The sequence below is a fragment of the Homo sapiens genome, chromosome 5 (assembly GCF_000001405.40).
Source record: "Homo sapiens chromosome 5, GRCh38.p14 Primary Assembly".
Lineage (NCBI taxonomy): Eukaryota > Metazoa > Chordata > Mammalia > Primates > Hominidae > Homo > Homo sapiens.
In genome coordinates this window covers 131,996,821-132,016,868 of record NC_000005.10, presented here as the reverse complement: position 1 = coordinate 132,016,868, position 20,048 = coordinate 131,996,821, and the positions used below count along the sequence as shown (strand labels likewise).

The 20,048-nt window shown below is 52.3% G+C and overlaps 1 protein-coding gene and 2 long non-coding RNA genes across 25 annotated transcripts in view, besides 2 other annotated features; 1 reads left to right on the top strand and 2 right to left on the bottom strand.

Annotated features, from left to right (window-relative positions):
• Positions 1,340-5,413, bottom strand: LOC124901062 (uncharacterized). Its single transcript, XR_007058933.1, has 2 exons — positions 5,324-5,413; positions 1,340-1,465 (listed from the first exon to the last, which is right to left on the bottom strand). It is a non-coding gene; the product is annotated as an uncharacterized LOC124901062 (long non-coding RNA).
• ACSL6 (acyl-CoA synthetase long chain family member 6) overlaps positions 4,656-20,048 on the top strand; it is a 62,241-nt gene continuing 46,848 nt past the window's right edge. For 9 of the 23 annotated variants that reach the window (NR_175946.1, NR_175947.1, NM_001205247.2 and 6 more), the window contains exon 1: positions 5,211-5,364. Coding sequence is in view for 9 of the 23 variants with exons in the window: in NM_001205247.2 (NP_001192176.1) it covers positions 5,316-5,364 (49 nt within the window). In the remaining 14 variants the exon portion in view is untranslated. The other 14 variants (NM_001205251.2, NM_001205248.2, NM_001405480.1 and 11 more) reach the window with 7 other exon arrangements.
• Positions 8,780-8,899: a silencer, noted in NCBI's record as "silent region_16310". NCBI's record gives its function as "represses an Ori minimal core promoter by ATAC-STARR-seq in GM12878 lymphoblastoid cells {active_cell/tissue: GM12878}" and the evidence as "EXISTENCE:reporter gene assay evidence [ECO:0000049][PMID:35858748]".
• ACSL6-AS1 (ACSL6 antisense RNA 1) lies at positions 9,833-13,296 on the bottom strand. Its single transcript, NR_183256.1, has 2 exons — positions 13,058-13,296; positions 9,833-10,549 (listed from the first exon to the last, which is right to left on the bottom strand). It is a non-coding gene; the product is annotated as an ACSL6 antisense RNA 1 (long non-coding RNA).
• Positions 14,520-15,115: an enhancer, noted in NCBI's record as "H3K4me1 hESC enhancer chr5:131337447-131338042 (GRCh37/hg19 assembly coordinates)". NCBI's record gives its function as "activates a minimal SCP1, AML or CMV promoter by ChIP-STARR-seq in primed H9 embryonic stem cells {active_cell/tissue: H9 hESC(primed)}" and the evidence as "EXISTENCE:reporter gene assay evidence [ECO:0000049][PMID:30033119]".

Sequence of the window (20,048 nt, the reverse complement as noted above, 5' to 3'; positions counted from 1 at the left end):
AGAAGGACAGCATTTCTTTCTTGAATTGCCTGTCTATGGCTTTTGCTCTTTTGTCTTTTTCTTATTGATTTGGATTACATGTCATACCCTCTGTTGCCTGTGGCATAAATATTTTTGCAAGTTATCTATTGATTCTTTAGATTTTTGTAATGGTGTTTTTTAACAACTAAACATTTAAAATTTGCATGTATTCAGACCTTCAAATCTACCAGTCTTTTCCTTTGTGGTTTCTGCCTTCTCTGTTGTGCATAAAAAGACCTTCCCCATCCCCAGATGGTGTAAACATTAATCTATATTTTCTTCAAGTTGGATTCATTTTCAGTCTTTAAAATGTAGTTTGTTTCCCATTCAATTCTGACCTCGTGTGAGTGGGAGACATATGCACAGGCATCCCCTCAGGAACCTGGAGGTGCCAGTGCTAACTCCCAGCCAGTTGACGATTGCTAACTTCCAGCCCAGTGGACTCAGGACAACTTCTAAGAGCTCTATCTTTGCCTTTCCATAGCTCTGGGGAAATCCCAGAAGCCCTTCAGTTATTTAATTGGCATTTTTTTTTAAAACGAATCTCATTGGTTTTGTCTGTCTGGTTGGATCAACAGAGAATTTTCAATTAGAAGAAACCCTCCCAAATAAGCGGGGTTAATTCATGCCTGACAGATGGACAATGGCATTTCCACAGGGCAAGTGCTCTCCATGCAGGCAGGGACCTTTTGTTTGTTTACTGCTACATCCTCAGGACCTAGAACAATGCCTTGCACATAGTGGGGACTCAGCATATACTTGTTAGATGAATGAATGCGTGAATGGCTCTCATGTATTCATTATTTAAAATGCAAAGAGGTAATAACATGGGAAAAAAACTCATGTTAGGTTTTTAAAAAGCAGCATAAGGGCCAGGCATGGTGGCTCATGCCTGTAATCCCAGTACTTCCGGAGGCCGAGGTGGGCAGATCACCTGAGGTCAGGAGTTTGAGACCAGTCTGGCCAACTTGGCAAAACCCCGTCTCTACTAAAAATACAAAAATTAGCTGGGGGTGGAGGCAGGCGCTTGTAATCCCAGCTACTCGGGAGGCTGAGGCAGGAAAATCGCTTGAACCCAGGAGGCAGAGGTTCAGAGGTTGCAGTGAGCCGAGATCATGCCACTGCACTCTCCAAAAAAAAAAAGGGGGCAACATAAGATACTGAATAAACAATATCCATCATTCATTTATTCATTCAACAAGTATTTCTTGAACTGCACTACACATGGGGAAAAGACAGGGTTGATGTAAAGATTAAACAAGTTAGCATATTGTATTAGGCTGCTGGAGCTGCCATAACAAAAATACCACAAACTTGGTAGCTTAAACAACAGAATTTTATTTACTTATGATTCTGGAGGCTGGAAATCCAAGGTCAAGGTGATGGTAGAGTTGGTGTCTGGTCTGCAAGACCTCTCCTTGTCTTAAAGATGACTGCCTTCTCTCTGCAATAAAGTTATCACAATAAACTTTCTCGCAATAAAGTTCAGGTCTTTATTCCTGATGTTACTCTTCTTATAAGGACACTAGTCCTATTGGATTAGTGCTCCACCCTTATGACCTCATTTATCCTTACTTACCTTAAAGACCCTGTCTCTAAATACAGTCACATTGAAGGTTAGAGCTTCCATATATGAACTGGGATGTGGGGGACACAATTCGGTCCATAACACATACGTAAAGTGCTTAGAAATAATGTCTGGCTCATACTAAGCCCTGTGTAAATGTTGGATATTATTATTGTTGTTAGAAAATATACAGAACTGCATTAGTTATTATTGCATTCTCATTGGGGGATGAAATTACAAGTGATTTTATCTTATACTTTTCTATATTTTCCAAAATTTCTATGTTGAACAATTTTACTAATCTGAGGGGGAAAAAACACCACTACTCAGTAAAAGACATGGTTGAATATTGTTTGCAGCTCCCCAACCATTATATCATGTGTTAAAAGCCTTTGCTCCAGATTGGGTAGTTATCCTTAGTGGATTCTTTGTTGAGTTTCAAGTTTTTGGTTCAGGTCTCCAAATATGTGGTTGTCAGAATACAGAGAAGCAAAGACCTGGCTCAGCCCACCCAGCCCCATCAGTCAGAGCTTCCACTAGGAGATGCAGTAATGGGGACAGAGGATGCATCATGCTGTGTGCCAGCCCCATATCCACACCCTCTGGAGGGCAGGAAAGACCTTCAGCAGTGGGATGGTGAGTGGATCAGTTTGAGTTCTTGGCTCCAAACTGACTAAACAAAGTCTGGACTGACTGTTTTAATCAGAAAAAGAGTACATTAAAGAACATGTTCACTTCTAAAAGGCTCAACTTTTGGGGCACTTCAAGAAACAGGCTCAAATTTCAGTTTCTGAAATGACTCCCAGAATCATCCACCATCCATGGCTTCTGTTACCACCCTTGTGCCAGCAACGTAGATGCCATGTGCATGACTTTCTTTCACTCATTTCTGGCTTTTTTATCGAAGGCTCATGAGAGTGTGTTTCATTGGTACAGTCTAAGTCACTAATCCACTCCTAGCTGCAAAGGAAGCTGGAAAAGTGAGTTTTCTGGATTCTACCGGAGACACTTGCAACTTGGGAAACTATCAAAATGTAGGAGAGAATGAATGAAAAATGAATAAATGGGAGTCAGGAGCCCAGAACTGCTGTGTGACCTAAGACAGTTGTTCGCCTTTCCCAACGTCAGTCTTCTGCTCTGTCAAATGGGATAATATCCTCTGCATTCTTTGGGCCAGACCCCAAGCCAGGGCTGCAAATAGATGATTAGGCTCCTGCCTGCCAACCCACTTAGAGATGCTAGTCTGGGAGGAGATATGTGTGAACATGGCTGGCCGCTAAGGTGGCTGGATTTGCTGGCTAAGGACCAAGAGGGATATCCAAGGGCTCCCCAGCCTGGCCTGGGCATTTCTGGGCCCTGGGTTCCATGGATGCCACACCCATGCAGTCTAGGGCCTGAGTCACAGCGTCTACCCATGCCTGCAGATGGTCCACAGATTGAGACTCACAGAGAAGGAAGAAGACCTTGGGAACTCAGGACAGGAAAGAACAAGTCCCATTACTCAGTGGAAGGAACAGGCCTAGAGAGGAGAGAGACCTGGCCATGATCCCACAACCAGGCTAGGGCCTTTCTGTCCCCATCTCTCAGGGGAAGCCAAGCCATGCTCAGAGGAAAACAGAAAAATACTTGGCTAAGCTAGAATCAGTCACAGCTCCAGTACTGGTTTTTGAATTAAAATATTCACAAGTAGCAGAGACATCTGTAGGGAGAGTAACGGGATGCGACATCCTGCTGGAGGCCAAGCTAAATGTGTCCCATGACATCACTCTGAAGAGGAGGCTGCCAGAGCCGCATAGGGCCCGGAGTGCTCCTGCAGCTGAGTGCCGCAGAGGCCTGAGGCTTGCAGCCTGGCTCCTGGCCCCCTGCTCTGTGAAGAAATGCTCTGTTGAACCACTGGCCTATGGGGAAATTACCTGACCACCTCCCTAGACCAATCTGGTCTGGGGAGATATGTTCTTTCTGCCCAGGCTTCTGGTTCCCCTGGGTCTCCTCTTCAGTACTAGCAGATCTCCAGTTACTCTGCTGCCAGTGGGAGTGTATGGGTGGGGTGGGGGGATTCTCAAAGCCATGTTACTTGCTGGGAGGAGTCCTGCCATACAGCCTCTGTCACACCCTCTTGGAGGAGCCCTGCCAAGCTTGAGATCCCAGCAAAGTCCCTGCCAGGCTGTGGCTGAGTTCAAGCTGGAGCAGCTCTCCCAGGAGTCCAGATCCTATGATGGAGAAGGTGTAGGATCCTATTGTAAAGATTGGAAGTGACTCAGAGGCACACATCTGCACACTTGCACCACTACAAGGTGCACACAGGCCTGGGCACACACATGCCATGTACTCGTACTACAGATACAGGCCCCCCCACACACCCAGCTGCTGAGCTGTGAGCCCACATGCACTCATGGCTGATGGTCTCTGGTGGGCCTGAAGAGATCTCATGCTCTTCCACTCTCTGCTTCCTGACTTCTGCTCTCTGGTTTTCTATCCTCTTCTTTCTGGGCTGTGGCTCAGCCAGCTCCTGGCCTGGGAGGGCTGCGTATAGAGAAGGCCCGGCTGCCTGAGCGCTGTCCTCGGTGCTGGAGTCCTGGTGGGCTCTGCATGCTTGAGGAAAACAAGCAAGGGCATTGGGAAGAGGTGATCTTGCTTGGAGGTGCAGATGTTCATGGGGTGCCCACCAGGATGCCTACCCTTATTATTTCAGAAAATGTGCAACTGGGCTTCCTCCTTTCAATGGCAGACACTGCAACAGGTGTCCAAGCCCTCAGCCCAGCAGTGTGGGCATCTGTGGCTGTGTGTGGCTATATGGCCATTTATTGTGGCTATGAGGGGCTTCTTGAGACCTCGTGTGCCACATACAGTTGTGTACGAAGATCATGATTTCCTCATGAGACACCTGTGATTCCATGTGGCTGCCTGTGACCATGTTACTACTGGTGAACACATATGGCAGCCTGTGATCACACTGAGTCTCCTGTGACCTTGCGTAGCCTCAGACCTGAACTCGTGCGTCCCCAGATGATCTGGGCACTATCTGGTCTAGCTGCCTGATTTGTCAGAGCCTAGGTGAACACTTGCCACTCCCTCCCCTCACTGGTTTGCAGAGGTGGCACCCGGAGGCTCCCCATGTCTGCAAACTCGGGTCCTAGGGGGCGTTGGTGTCAGCGGGCAACAGCCCACAGGAGTGTGCACCTCCTAGGACAGGTAACCGCGACCCGGCTGCCATTCGAGCCTGCCCAGCCATAAAACCCAGGCTGCGAGTCGCGCGGGGGCAGGGTCGCGTGTTGATGGGGTGGGTGGCGGCGGGGTGGGCTCAATGTCACGCTCTGGCGCTCGTCGCCCGTGCTCCCCCTTCCAGCCGGTTTCCGCAGAATGCCAGGTACTGACGTTGGAGAGCGGGGCCGGAGAGGGCTGGTTCGCTCTGCGGCCGGGCCCCTCCCCCGCCCGGGAGCTTGGCGGTTCCGACACCGCGGTCAGTGCGGGGCAAGCCCCAGACCCGGCCGGCCAGGCTGCAGGGCAGGGAGTAAGGCTCGGTTGCGAGTGCGCGCCGCGCCCTCCCCCTTGAGCCGTCTCCGCAGCGGCGCGGGGAGGCGGGAGCTGCGGGGCCGGAGGGCGGGGGCTAAAAATACCCGGCAGCGGCGGCGGCGGCGCGGCTACTGCTGGGGCTGCTGGGCTGCGGGGCTGCGGGGCTGCGGGTCGGGGAGGCCGGGCCGGGCCGGGCCGGGCCCCGCTGACCGCCATGCTGACCTTCTTCCTCGTGTCGGGGGGCTCCCTCTGGCTATTCGTAGGTAAGTGCCCGTCCTGTCCGCGTCCCGGACTCCCATCTCCCGCAGGCTATGAGGTCTTCGCCCGAGGTGGAGGTGTTACATCTCCGCGGCCGCCGAGCCCCCATCCCCTGCTGCTGAGCTGTCCCGTCAAGGTCCCCAGGGCCGCCTAAGTACACCCTCCGCCCCCAGTTCTCGCGGGCTCCGGGCCGGGTTTGGGGAGCACCTGGGTCTGCGGAGGGAGATATAGGGCTTGCTCTCTGCGACCCCACCACAAACCCCCGCCGAGTTCTTGCGTCCCCCTTCCCTGATGGCAAGGACCATCCGCGGATCAGATTAGGCCCTGAGCCAAGGCCAGGAACAGACATTGCGTCCTTGTCCATCTCCTGGGACCAGAAACCGAGGGTGTTGGTCCCCGAGGTCCCACAGCAGGTCAGCTATGTAACCCGGACTGACCTAGGCTTCCTGATCCCGGCGAGGGGCTTCCTCACGACCCCTCCCTGCCCGTCCTTCAGCCAGAGTACAAGATTTCTGTAAGGTAGGGTTCACCTGGCTCCTCTGCTCTGCCCAGGGCTGCTGTGTCTCCACTGTTTCCAGACCCCTCCCCTCCACCTCACAGGAGTCAGCTTCACCACTGCACTTCTTAGGCGGCTACAAGGACCCCTGCTCGATCCCGCCTCCGCGCTTACCTCCCTCAACCCCCCATACACCCACACCTGGAGTCTCACCACAGGCCCTTTTATCTGCCAGTTCTACCACCTGCACCGGCTACTTCCCCTCTCTGAGCCTGGGGTCCTCCAGAGTATAATACCACTAAAGGATCTCCACCTCCACCCCAACCCCCATGTGCAGATTCAGCCTGATAATTTGTGTGCAGTGCTTGATCCTTAAATTGGCCTTAAACCTGTCCTAGGCCACAGCAAATGCTCTATGAATGTTAGTGTTTATTATTATCTCACATTCAAACAGCACCATCAGAAGTGGTAATAAAGCTTTTTCTGAGCCAAGGAAGGGGAGGAAGTTGACCCTCTTGAAATCTTTACCTGAGGCTTTGTACGTGTTATTTAATATTCATGGAAAACCCTAGGAGGTCGGTGGCACCATCCCTTTTTTTACTGAGTTCAGAGGTCAATTGACTTGCCTAGTGTCACATGGATATTTGGCAGACTGGGATTCCATTCGAGGTTTTAATTGATCAACCAATGCTAAGTGCTTGGCTGGATCAGGCCTGAACCTGGAGGGTTGGTGGGCCTAGTAATCACTTCCTTCACCCCCACCATTTCCTTAAGTTAGGCCACAGGGACACTTCCCCTGAGCTGGGAGAGTGAGTGAAGCCTCCCTAATCCCCTCAGCTCCCTAAGCTCCTTCTGTCTGCCAGTGTCTGTGACTGGCTGTGCAGGGGCACTCTGGTCCTGAGGCACATCCAGCAGACAAGGGCAGGGCTAGAGCTGGGGTTGGAGGTAAAGGGCAAGGATAATTAAAATAATGGTGATGGTGGTCGTAACAGCCACCATTTAATGCCTGAGTGATGGATGGTCTCAGAGCCTCTCCCCACTGCCAGGACCCCTTTGCCCTACCCTCAGGAGGCCCCACCCAACCATGGGTCCAAGGTCAGCTCTCTGAAGACTTGATCTTCTGTGGCTGCAGGGAGGTGTCTAGGGGCTGCAAGACCACTTGTGACCGGGGTCATCAGCAGCCTGTGAGAAAAAGTCCCTCACCCTGTGGGGTCCTTGTCTGTGAGCAGGGTTAGCTGGCACTGACTCAAAGTGGAGTCCTGTTTCCTTGTGGAGCATTTCCTAAAGTGGTCAGCTCCCTCCTCTAATGGGAAACTGGGGAATCTGCCTCACTGAGAGACTATACAGGGCCTCAGAACCGTCAAGCAGGAGCGATTCTTGGGGCAGGTAGTGGCTGCTTCCACAGAGGCCGAGCTTCCCAATGCAAAAAGCAAGAGGCTGAGGCTGGTCTATGGTGCTTATTGGATAGAATAACCCAGACAATTGCTGGGGCATTTTAAGTTATGTATCCACCCTCCTTGAGACTCCACCTGGCCCCCAGCCTTTCTCTGGTGGCAGAAGAGACTCCTGAGTTAAGAGCTGTAGTTCTGTGAGCACACCTGAGAACATGCTCTGCCTTGTCATCTCCAGGGTCCCATGGTCCCACGGCAGCTGCCAGATCCCTTCCACTCAGCCAGTAACAGGAGGCAATGTCTCTCTTTAGTAGAGTTATGTGCTTTTTGCCACCTAACCTGGCCCTAGGGAGACAAGGTAGGGCCAGGCAAGGGTTTCCCTCAAGGGCCCTCAGGGAGAGATGACATAAAGTCGGGGATGGGGGTGTGGCAATGCACCAGGAGGAGGAGCTGACTGTTGTTTGTGGGAGGTAGCCATCTGTTCTGGGCTGTGTCTGTCCTGTTGCCTGCTGGAGAGGCCAGCAATGAGTCCTGGGCCAGCCCAGATCTCACCTGTGTGTTGAATACTAAACAAGGAGACAAGTAAAATAAGTCCAGCATGAGTCAGATGCTAGGTCTGGCTTGGGGAAGCATGCCCTCAGTGCCATAAACACCTAGAGGACAATGGGAGCAGAGGATCAGAGCTTCTGCCTGCCTGTACAGCACCTTTGTGCAAAGTAGGAAGAAGTCTCACTCTTGGTGGATAACTTTCTAAAAGGGCACACCTTCCTCTAGGCTAAGGCAGCCCCATGCCGCAGGGTCTAATCTGTTCAATCATATACCCAACCATCAGTGACATATGAGTGGGCTTCTGCAGCATTCAGGGGAATTTGTCAGAGATAGGGAGGCCAAGATCCAAGTGGAGGAAGCCAGACTAGCAGAGTTTGTGGAAGAACTGCAATGGGGGATGAGTCTTCAAGGTCTTGTGCCTGAGCAATGTGGGTTGTGGGAGAGGATTCTGGAGAAGGTTTTATTTGGATGGTAGAGGATCCCTCCATTTAGCTGCTGAGTCAAGAGGAAGAGAGTGGAGTCCAGGAGGGTAGTAGGAGGTCGTTATGATGTTATGGATAAGAATAGATGTGGTCCAAGGATGGCTTGAGTCATGGCTGGGCTCCAGTAAGGAGAAGAGATAAGCCCCCACCCCTGGCCTCTGCCTTAGGAGAAGTGGGGCTGGCCCTGGTGGGGCGAGACAAAGTTGCCCGTCTAAAGAATGGTTTGGCATGCTCCTGGCTATAGATGCCTAGGGCAAGCATAGACTTGCACACTTTGGCTTAGTTCAGGCCTGTGAGATCCTCCCCTTACCCCACTCTGGGCTCCCATTAGGACAGAGAACTGACTTGAGGTCTAGGGCCACCCCAGGGGTTTGGAGATTGCAGTTATGAATTGGGACAGATGGTAGAGCTCCAGGCAGAACAGGTGGCTCTGTGGCCAGCTGGGGACATGCCTCACAAAGAAAGCCTGAATTTGTACAAGGTGCACCAGCATGGAGCAGGATTTTGCCCGCAGCACCTTCTCACAGCTCTCCAGCCTATATGGTAAGAACATACTGACACCAGGGGGCAGCAGAACCCAGTCATTATGCTCTCCAGCTATTGTTCTGTCCCTTGTGGTTATAAGGATTCATGGGTTGACCTTCAGAAGGCTGAATTTGGCTCAGCTACAGCCCCAGATGGGACTCAGGACTGTCCCATACATGGGGTGAGTGATCATGAGGCTCTGGCTTGTTTATAAAAATGGGCAAAAGTTACAGGCTTTTGTATAACAGAAGCTACACTGTGTATCCAGCCAGCACTGGGCACATAGTAGGCACTCAAATACTCATTAAGTACTAGGTGTGTGTGGAGGGGTGTTTTTATGGGATTAACTATTGCAAACAGGCTGACTTGGCTGTTGTTTCACTGAGCACCTACCATGTGTCAAGCACCCTGTCTATGATTCTCCAAACTTTCCTTCCATCCTCCCACAACACTGTGTTGTGTTCTCCCCATTGCCTAGGTGAGGCCCTGAGACTCAGCGAGGTTCAGTGGTGAAGCAACTTGTAAGAGCTGTGAGTCAGGCCACATTCTCAGACTTTCAGTCCAGGAAGGGACCACCAGGCATGATCAGCCAGCCATGTTAGCTAAAATTATAATAACTTGTATTAGGCTTTCCTTAAAGGGGATCCAGGATTCTGACATGCAGAAAGGGAGTAGGAAAAGAAAAGGCATTCCAGGCCAAGGGACCTGTGTGAGGGAAGATTGGCAATAGGACTGAATGAAGTTGAAGGACCAATTCTGCTGGGCCAGTGAGGTTGCCAGAGGTGGGCTCTGCAGGCCTAGGATAACAGGCCAAACAGCATTGGCTTTATTCTGTGCAGCGGTTATGTCAAGGAGGTGTGGGTAGAACTGGGCATGTGGATGACCAAGGTGACACTATTCCTGTGCTCCAGAAGCCTCCTCCACAAGTCCATGGTCTCCTTGAGGGCAGGGCCAGGTGTCTCATGTCTATGTCCCCAACCCAGAGTTGGGCACACAGGGTACATAAGAGTTTATTGCATAAACTAAAGAATTCCCTGAGCGTAATTTATTTTAATAATGTGTTTTATAAGCTGTTTCCTTACCACAAGTCAATCAGTAAACAACAGATTTTGAGTGTGCTCCTGCTAGGATGCTAGGCTCTGTGCCCAGGTGGGGGATGATGCCAATATGTTAGAAGCAGTAGGGAAAAGCAGGTGTAAACTCCTTGCAGGCAGGGCCAGGTTACCCTTCACTGGAGAACCCTGTGTGCTGAGAACCAGTGCAGCCTGGAATAGAAGGAGGTGCTCCAGAAGTGTTTGTTGAATGAATGAATGAATCAACTAGTGAACCCACAGCTTCTGGGTGACCAGTTTTGTGGAAGAGAGTCTTCTCTGAGGGCTGCTGCTTCCTTAGAGCTCCAAGGTTCCAGTCACCTGACAGATTGGGAGCTTGGGCCACTCTGCCAAGCATAGATGAGAGGAATTCCCAGTCAAGGTCCTCACCTCACTGGATGGTCTGGTGTGATGCTCCCATTCCTTGCGTTGGCCTCGCCAGAGTTCCCACTAACCATCCACTGGGTCCACAGATTGGTGGGGTTAGGGGAGTGCTGTGGATGAGATGCTGCTTTGAGCCCTTGGGGTTGTCCTTCAGGATGCCCAGGGGTGGTTCCTCATCATTTGCTCGGCTGCCTCGGGAGATCCGTGGTAGGTGTGGTTATTCCTGGGCCTACTTCCTTTGTGTAGCTCCTAATTCATGTGAATCTTGGGGCCTGGGACAGGCAGAAATGGGAAGATGGGAAGTGGATTGGAACAGAAATTTCAAGCCAAGCCGAGCTATCTATTCTGAGACCCAACCAATACTCTCAGAGCCAGAAGGATTTCAAATCCCAAGAAGTCTCACCTGACCCTATTTGCCAGCTCTTCCCAGAGATACCCTTCCTCTCCCTGCACCTAAGCCAGGCATGTAGTAGGGGCGTCTGGGGGAGTTGGGAATGGCTTCTGATTTGCCATCTGCCCATTTAAGCTTGTGTTCCGAGATCACTGTCTCCTGGGAATTTAGAGCAGGAAGCCAGGCCAGTGAGGGAACAATCAGCATCTTAGTGCTCAGCCCCTGGTATAAGCAAATGTGGGCTGGCACCTGTTAGGGCCAGGAACAGACTTAGTAATTGATAGCTATTGGAGAAATGAGTGAGTAGGTAGGCCCAGGTTGACTGGGCAGCTCTGGGACAGACCCTATTGACCAGTGCCTGGGACCCCGCCTCACTCTCAGCACAGCCTGGCCCACCAGTGCAGGATGTGGATTCCAAGGGACTGATCAAGACTCAGCTCTGCTACAAAGCTCTGCTTTTCCCTCCAACTCATGGACTGTTGTAGGGGCTGAGACTCCCCCGTGGGACTCCTCCTGCCCACGCACCCCTGTCCCAGCCTTAGCTTTGCTGCAGACCATTCTAGATACTGACTGCAGATCCTGCCTCATAAACAGGCAGAAATGTCACTGGGAGAGACAGTGAGGTCAACTAGATATTGGATAGAAAGGGCAGCTAGAGGCTACACAGCAAGGACAGTTAGAGCTGGGACAGAGATCAGCAAGGTGGCATGTGAGCCGGCCAGTGAGATTGGACAGGGAGGTTGGCTGGAGTAAGGCCTTAAGGCCTTTAGGCCAGTGAGAGGAAGACAATTGTCAGTATGGAGAAAGTAGACTCAGTGGAGACCCATCCAGGCCTGCAGTGACCCCTCTGCTTTGGAAGGGAAGCTCTGGCCACTCTGCCCTGCCACTAGAGCTGATGCTGCATGAAGCCACATAGACCCCAGGACCCTGCTTAGTGGCTGGAGAACTTCAGTGTTCATCGTGACTGTGCTTTCCAGCAGATGGGCTGGATGTGATTCTCTGAGGACACCTTCAACTCACGCATTTTTTTTTCTTTTTTCTTTTTTTTGAGACAGAGCTTTGTTGTTGTTGCCCAGGCTGGAGTGCAATGGCGTGATCTTGGCTCACTGCAACCTCTGCCTCCTGGGTTCAAGTGATTCTCCTGCCTCAGCCTCCCATGTAGCTGGGATTACAGGTGCCTGCCACCACACCCGGCTAATTTTTTTGTATTTTTGGTAGAGACGGGGTTTCACCACATTGGCCAGGCTGTTCTCAAACTCCTGACCTCAGGTGATCTAGGTGATCCACCCATCTCAGCCTCCCAAAGTGCTGGGATTACAGGTGTGAGCCACCATGCCCAGCCAACTCATGCATATTCTGTAGGCCAACTCCCCTAAGCCTAGGTCTGTCTGTGGTGGCAGGGAGGGTTTAGAGAGAAATGGAGGTTGGGCCTTCCCCCATCCAGTAGGCTGGTAGGGGATTTGGGTGCATGTGTCCCCGATCTCCTTGCCACAGACCAGATATGGAAGGCTATGACCTGTGGAACCAACTTTTCTAGGTCATTCTGAAGTGTCCTGTCTCCTCTGTCTCCTGCTTCTGCTCCCTGGACAGTTCCATGACCTCTCACAGAGACATGCCTGGCACCTTGGCTTCATGAAGATACTGTGTGGCCCAAACGAATACCAGTTTCCTTTAGCCCCAGAGGCTGACAAGACATATCTCCCTTGGATTTCAGGAGATCTGTGGAGCATCCACCAACCCACCTGTTGGTTCAAAATCAACTCCAAAGTGGTTTTGTCCTAGATGTCCTCTCAGGCTCAACGGCCACATGTGTGCTTGAGATCTTGCTGTGCTATTTCTCCTGGTAGTGGGAGTCTGAGTGGCATCCATGCTCCACAGGGCACAAGGTCTGTGCTGTGGTTAATAGGCAGCTCCTGGTGACCATGGGGTGTCAGAGAAGCAGTGTTCTGGCTGCTGAAAGTCAGCCAAAAAAAAAAAAAAAGGATAGAAGCCTGACCTTGGCATGGAGCCTTGGTTGAAGAAGGAGCCCCAGCCCTGGAAGCTAGTGATCCCGCACATGGGGCTCTGGGCTGCCCTTATCCCCACCTCCCACTCGAGGGCACTTGTGGCAGCAGGAGTGTGGGCACCAGGCAGAGGACACACGTGCCCTCCATTATTGAAAGTCCTCTCTGTGCACTGCAGGGTCTTCTTGTGTACCAGCACTTTTTTCTTCCCATTTCTTTCTCCATGTTTACCATCAACACTGTGAGAATAACTGAAGTTTCCTTATCCAAAAAAAGGGTGCTACTCCAGATTCCGCCACTACTGTTTTCGAAAAGCACAAAACCAACAGAGCCTCAGAGGGGGCTGACCCTCTTTCTGGATCCCACCTCCATCCCCCCGAACTTACGTAGTGCTTTCCTCAGCAGCCACCGAGGCCTCCAGTTCCGTCTCCAAAGATGATGGGTTCCTTCCAGTGGGTGCAAAGTGAGAGCCCCAGTGATTGGTGTTCATAGTGGGTCAGTGTGAACAACGCCCAATGGCCTGCCTGGGCCAGCTGGGGCCTCGTTTTGCTTTGGTCTGAAAGACATTTTTGTTTTCTGGTGAGAACAGCCCCAGCCTGGCCAGGAGCCGGCCAGCGGCAGGAATACAAACCCTTTCATGTGACAGACCCAAGTGGAGTGATGCCCTCCTGCCAGCAGCAGGCCCTCCCCTGCCGCTCCTGGGAGGCGGCCATTTGCATATTTCCCATTCATCCTGGCCTTGAAAAGGAGGCCTGAGTTCCCAGTGCTCCTGCCCGCTGAGGGCTGGGCCGCTCCAGTCTAATGTTAACTCTGTGGACACTGTAGGCTCTCACAGGCCAACAGCAGAACTTGACCGCTTGCTGCCGGAGGGAGAGCAGCTTAAGGCTGCAGCTGCTGTGCCGCCTGACCTCCAGAGGGGGGATTCAGGAGGTGGCAGATTCCCGTTGACCAGCACAGCCTTTTGCTAAACTGGAGGAAATTCAGATTTGTTTCTTCTTGAGGCATTCAGAAGAGGAATTTTGTCAGACTATGGGGATGCCAGAATATTCAGCTATTTACCAAATTTGCCAGAAAATGTGCCCTTAACCAAGGGCAAAACTCTTTTTGTCTTGCTCACTTTCTAGTCTACAAAAAAATTCAGTGACTCTGGAATGGTAGGTGAAGGAGCCATGCCGGATCCTGGCTGCAGCAGCAATCCCTTTGCCAAGGATGTAGGAGCACAGCTTGCCTGGGGCACTTTTGCATCCCCAGGGCTGAGTGCCATTAGCTTGTGGGCTGTGACTCTGAAGGCATGAGGCAGATATACAGTACCCATCACCATCTTTTTCCTTTCTCCCATAGCTAAGTGCCATCCTGCCAGCCTCAGCTTCCTGCCCCAGTCCTCAGTGCAGACAGGCCTCTGCCTCCTTCCCGCCACTGTGTGAGGGCTCCTGCCAGGGGCCCCAACATCTTACAGGCTCTTCCTGTGACTTACCAACCCACTTCTGTCCCTCTTCGATAGCCCTGTTCTCTACCCTTTCCCACCCAGCTCGGATCCTCTCCTTGTTCTCCCTCCCTGGCTAAGGATGTCTCAGGTTCTGTCTTTTGTGCATTTCTCCCCTAGCACGTGTCCCCAGGAGACCAGCAGGGCTCCTAAGTGAACAAGCAGGCAAGCAAATCCCTCTGTTGCTCCCCCCACCTCAGTGACCCCCAACCATATATTGGCAGGACCCTCCCTACTTCAAGGAGCTTCCCTCTAGCTGGAGGAGGTCGCATCCCATCCTGCTTGTACCCCAGCCACCTGCAGTTGAGCTCTGAGTGCATGGCCTCGCCATGAGCAGCCCATATGCCCTTTACTGGTTCAAGCTTAGTTTGCAGTGTGTCCTAAGTTTGAGCCAGTGGCAGAAATGAATCATTGCTCCTGAGGCCGGGACACCAGCAGTCCTAACGTGGACATGGCCGGAAAGGCAAAGGATCGTGTTACAGCCACAGGATTTGGCTTCCTGCACAGGAGGGCCTGGCCAGGGAGTGTCCCTGTGCCTGTGAGGTGATGGTGACCCTGGTCAGTATTCCTAGGGTCCTGCCTGCTGTCCCAGGGCTTGGCGTGGAAGGATCTGAACTCGTCCACACCATCAGTCCTGGTTATCATACCCTGTAAATATTTCCAAAGGGACTACTGCTGTTTTTTTAGCCCCTGCTGTCCCTCTTTGCTCTGAGAACTTTGTCCTGCCTAATTCATGGTGAGGGCAACGTTTATCTCAGAGCGTGTGAAAGACACTGTGTATCTGTTTGCTCCTCTGTTCTCAAGGCTATTCATATTTTAAAGTTCCTGAAAGCATTGTTTGTGCCTGGCTTCCTGGTGCTAGCATCAGGAATGTGGACCCACATTCCCTGAGCAGGGCTTAGGGTGAGTGAGATTTTTGAGAGGTACTGTCATGAGGATGGGGAGGCCAGCGGGCAGTGGAGGCTGCTAAAGGGAGGCATGCTCACAGTGAGCTTGGGCTAGTTGCAACAGGTGGCTCTGTAAAGTACTCAGTCACAGCCAGCCTTAGCTGGGCCTTTCTACATTCAAGGGGCTTAATTGAACCATCAGAGCTATGATCAGGCTCCTTGGGGAAGCTTGGCAGGTGAGCCACCATGTAACCTGGCAACCCCGTATCGTATCCTGGGCCTCTATCTCATGGGGGATGTACAGTGGGTCCCACCTGGCAATTCCCAAGTCAGGGAGGCTCTTTGCTCCATTTCTGCCCTGGTCTTATGTGGTTCTGTGAATCTAATTAAAACCCAAGAGGAAAATGGAGAGCAAACCCTTCTCTCACAGCAGAGAGAAGCTTGAATCCCTGTGTGGAGAGGGCAGGTGTTGGGCAAGTGTGCGCTGCTGTGTTTGCACCTCTGCAGGTCAGGGTTGTACATGTGTGATGGTGAAGGCTGTGCATTTCTCAACCTGGCAACTGGGCTGCACACTGCTTGGGGTGAAACTACTCCCTCAGCTCTATGCCTCTGGCACTCTGTGGGATTTCCCACAGACCACTGGATTTCCTGCCCCAGAGGCTGCCTTGAGAAGCATTAAAGGAAGCTTTCATATTAAAAGCATCTCTGAAGATATTTGGAGAAAAGTAAGGGTCCTGCCTAGAAGAAAGGTGAAGTGACTTTGTGGGCTGATCGGGGGTGCTCAGATATTCGTTCATTTTAATCGGGGTGGGTTGGGGGAAGCTAGGGCCAAGTTCCAGATGAGGGTCGCTGAGGCAGGACGCTCTTCTCATGGCTCACCCAGATGGTAGGGTGAGTAGTGGAAGCTGTTATCTGCTCCAGGGAAGGTGTTGCAAGCCTGTGGGCTCTAGACTTGCCAGGCAATTGGGCAAACAGCTTTCAAGAGGGAGCTCAGAGCACTGGGTCCTGTCCTGGGACATTCTTGCAGCAAGGGAGCAGGGTTAAATTTGGGTGGACAGTGGCCCAGTGCAGGCAGACTCGTAATTGCCCAGAAGCACCTGATGTGGGTAGGGCCTGGGGGTGGTAGTAAGCTGGCTCCTGTGGCCTAGACTTGTCTTTTACTTATTAGCAGGTGCCACCATGAGTCTAGCTGTCTACCTTATGATCAGAATGAGTGTCCAATTCAAAATACGCAGTGATCATACTTGTGTGCTCAGCCACATGTTAGCCATGGAAATAGTAGTGAAAATGCTATGGAAGTAGCCACCCACACCCCTAAGCCTCACAGATCTTGCAGTAGTGAGACCCCCGAGAGCCCCTGGGACCTCAGTCTCTCAGTCTGGCAGAGGTGCTGCAGGACTTCAGAGCTCAGCTTCGGTCCTAATAGGCAAGGGTGTGGGTTCTGGCTCCAGGGTGACCATTCCCATGCAAACTAGGCAACAGTATCTCTTAGTGCAGGCATGAGAGCAGGGCTGGTGTGCTGCCCTGGGGTCTTGTGGTGGAGATCAGCCACTATCTTCCACCTGCTGGCTCTGATCCTTGGTCCAGAGTGTCCTCACTCCCCAGAGCATCCCTAAGCAGATGTTTTATCTGGAACTGTGCCATTTCTTTCCTCTTCCCAAGTAGATTGGCTGTGACCTTGTGGGGGTGGGGAGCAGAGGCAGCCCCTGGGAGAGGCTGGAGGCAGAATCTCCCGGGTAGATGGTACAGTCGCCCTCAGTGCCAGAGAGCTAGCATCCCCATCCCCTACTCCCCACTACTTCCTGTCACCCCCCACCCCCTACACACATAAACTCATGCTCACTGCAGTCCCAAGCCCACAGCAAAGGCCTGGCCCTAATCATTGTCTCAAATGGATGTGTAAGGAGACTTTGTTCTTAAGAAACCCACTTGGCAAACTCCCTTTCAGAACTGCAAACAGGGTGGGGTGAGGGGAAAAGCAGGGGGGTGTAAGCTGAGGCTCTGGCACGCTGGCAGGGTGAGGGTTAAGGCTGGGTTGCTTGGCTCTGAGCTGATCTGAGCCAGCACCGCCCTGCATGCAGATGGAGGTGGGGCTGGCGGGGGCCTTGAGGGGCCAGCAACTCCTTACAGAACTGCTGTGTGCCCTGTTCCCTGCCAGACCTGCTCCCACAGCCACCAGGGAGCCTGTGCTACCACTGCTAACGGCTCTACCACCACCCGGCTTCTCAGAGCAGGCGGCTGTTGCCATCGACTGTCCCCAGGAGGGCAGACTCGGGGCAGGGCCTTCGCCACTTTTGTGCTTTGATCAAGATGTGGTAACTTCTTTCCCTGGGCCCCACAGGCCCTATAAAGGGAGGCTGGTTCTAGTGGGACGAGCTCAGCCGCCTCCTCAGTGCCAGGAGCCTGCTGGAAAGGTAGGGTGTGAATGCATCTACTTGTGCAAGTTGTCTTTGAGCCCCTTTGGCTTGCAAAGAGATGGAGTAACTGCTTCAGCTACTTGCTATCTACTAAGTGTTTCCCTTACTACATGCCTGGCACTGCACTCTCTGTCCATGAGCTTGTTTGAGATGAGGCCCAGAGGGGCAAAGTGACCTGCCCAAGGCCACACAGCTATCAAGAGACTGAGTCATGATTTGGACCCAGGTCAGTTCAGCACCGGAATACCCAGAATACCCACTTTGGGTCCTCTCCCAAGCTCGTTTGCTAGGGTCCCTGGGCCCTGGGAGAGGTTGTAGTTTTCTTTTCAGAGCTCTTCACTTGGAGTTGAGGAGATTCTTTGATGATTTGGTGGCTGGGCTTGAGCTTCCCCACCCGTTTTGAAGACCTCAGAAGTTTGCAGAGGCCCAGAACTCCATCATATGAACCCCTATTAGAGAGGCTGATACAGAGGAAGCTGGAGTGATTCAAAGGGGAGGGAAGAATCCGAGGATCATGGAGAGCCTCAGTGTGAGCATTAGTTTGGACTCTGGTCCTAAGGCAATAGGAAGCCAGATAAGGTTTCTGAGCAGTGGCATGACATGATCCTATCTACATATCAGGAAATAACTTTGGTAACAGGGCAAGCACCTGTTAGAGCAAGGAGACCTATGGAGAGGGTGGTATGGGAGTCTGGGCTGTGGTTGGTGGTGGCTGTCAGGCCTGGGGCCGTTGGGGTAGAGAGGAGTGGTCGGGTATCCAGCTAGACAATGAAGCCTAGAGTATTGAGGTTAGGAGGCTGGACCAGCAGAGAGTTCTTGGAGCCATGTCAGGGTCCCCAGGGCCAGTTCCACAGTGACTGTGCTCTGGGGCTTTGCTTCTGCCACCCCACCACATTGGAGCCAACATATTTCCCACCAGGGCCCCTTTCTTCCTGTTCTCTCCCATGCTGGATTGCCCTAAATCAGCAGAGGCCATGCTGAGGTGGGAGGAAGTTCCAGTTTCCTTAGCCTTAGCTACCACTTGGTATTCTGAACTGGTCTGTGCTGGAGAAAAAGATGTCGGATATTCCAGGAAGAGAGGAGGAGGTGGCTAGTTCATGTTAGGTGGCTTGTTCATGCCTGAGTCCTCCTGCCAGGTGAATATTTACAAACACAGTCACTCACCTGGCAACACCAGCACCACTGATTCCCTTGAGTGCTGTCCACACTCCTCTTGCCCCCGACACACACACAATGCACATCTCTGCTGCAGCCAAGAGAGTCTCTTGGGGTATGGAAGGAGGCAGTATGGCTGGGACCCTAGAGACCACCAAGCCCTACCCCAGGTCAAAAGAGAGGTGTGGAGGTCAGAGGAGGCCAAGGCCCTGTGAAATAATGAGATGAGACCAGACTCCAAGGCCTAGGCTCTGCCCTCCCCATGTCAAAGGCTTGGTGGCTTGGGCTGGCTCTGAGGCCCATGTCCTCAGGGGACCTGGACTCACAGCTCTGCCTTGCAGTGGCTCCCAGGTCTGAAGGGAACCTCAGTGTAAACGCAAGCAGTTCTGACTGAGAAGGTCGATAAGCCTGAAAGAACGAGACCCTCTGGTTGCTGCCCAGCCAAGGTGGGGTACAGGCCCAGCCTCAAGGTCAGAGGAGCTGCCACTGCTGCAAATACCTCCTTCAGGGTGAGCACCTAAGTAGAAGTTGCAAGGAGGAGTGGGCAGCCAAGCCCTTTGCGCACTGCCTTCCATCACCCCAGGTAGGAGGAGAAGGACTCAGCCAGGAGAAGATGGTGAGTTCTTGATGTAAGGCCAGGAAGAAGCCCACCCATGTCCATGGCGAAAGATAGCAAATGACTGGCCCAACTGGCTGGTCCCCTCATACAGGCTCTGGTGGCCCTGCACTTCCCCCAGCCCCTGAACCTGGGCCTGGGCTCTTCCAGGCAGCTGGAGCTGGTTGTCTGTGGGTTCAGTGCCAATGCGAAGGAAAGGATGGATTGTGGGAGTGGGCCCAATGTTGGCAGGGGTTGGGGTGGCCATACCACATGAGGGGCTGGCATTGAGACTGCAGTCTTGGGCTTGAGTCTATGCTCTACTACTTGTTTACTGTGTGCCTCGCTTGCTGAACAAGGTGGCTTCTCCAGTGGAGCCTCTGTTCTCCCACCTTAGAGGGAGTACCTGCAGCTGTTGTGAGGGTCAAACAGTACAGTGTGTAGGAAAAGGCTGCCCAGGCATCAGGAACTCAGGAATTTTAGGCCAAGTCCCCTTCTTCCTCCCACTGAGGACCATGGTAATACCGTGACTGCTGAAAGCTCAGCATATCCAAGAGGCCAGCCTCACAGACTTGTAGCACTGATCTTTGTATGAGATTTTGTGGGCTCAGTGCTTTATTTTCTGCACAGAATATTCTGTTCCCTAAGTGTCCCATGTGCTCTTTCAACTCCAGCCTTTGTATGTTTACTTTCCTCTGCCAGGCCACCCTTTCATCTTTATCTTTCATTCTCAGGATCAATATCACTTCCTGCCAGAAGCCTGCCCTGACTCTCTCGTACCTAAGTCAGGCAGCTTTTCTGGCTCCCCATGTCTGATCATAACACTGCCCATTTCCTCAT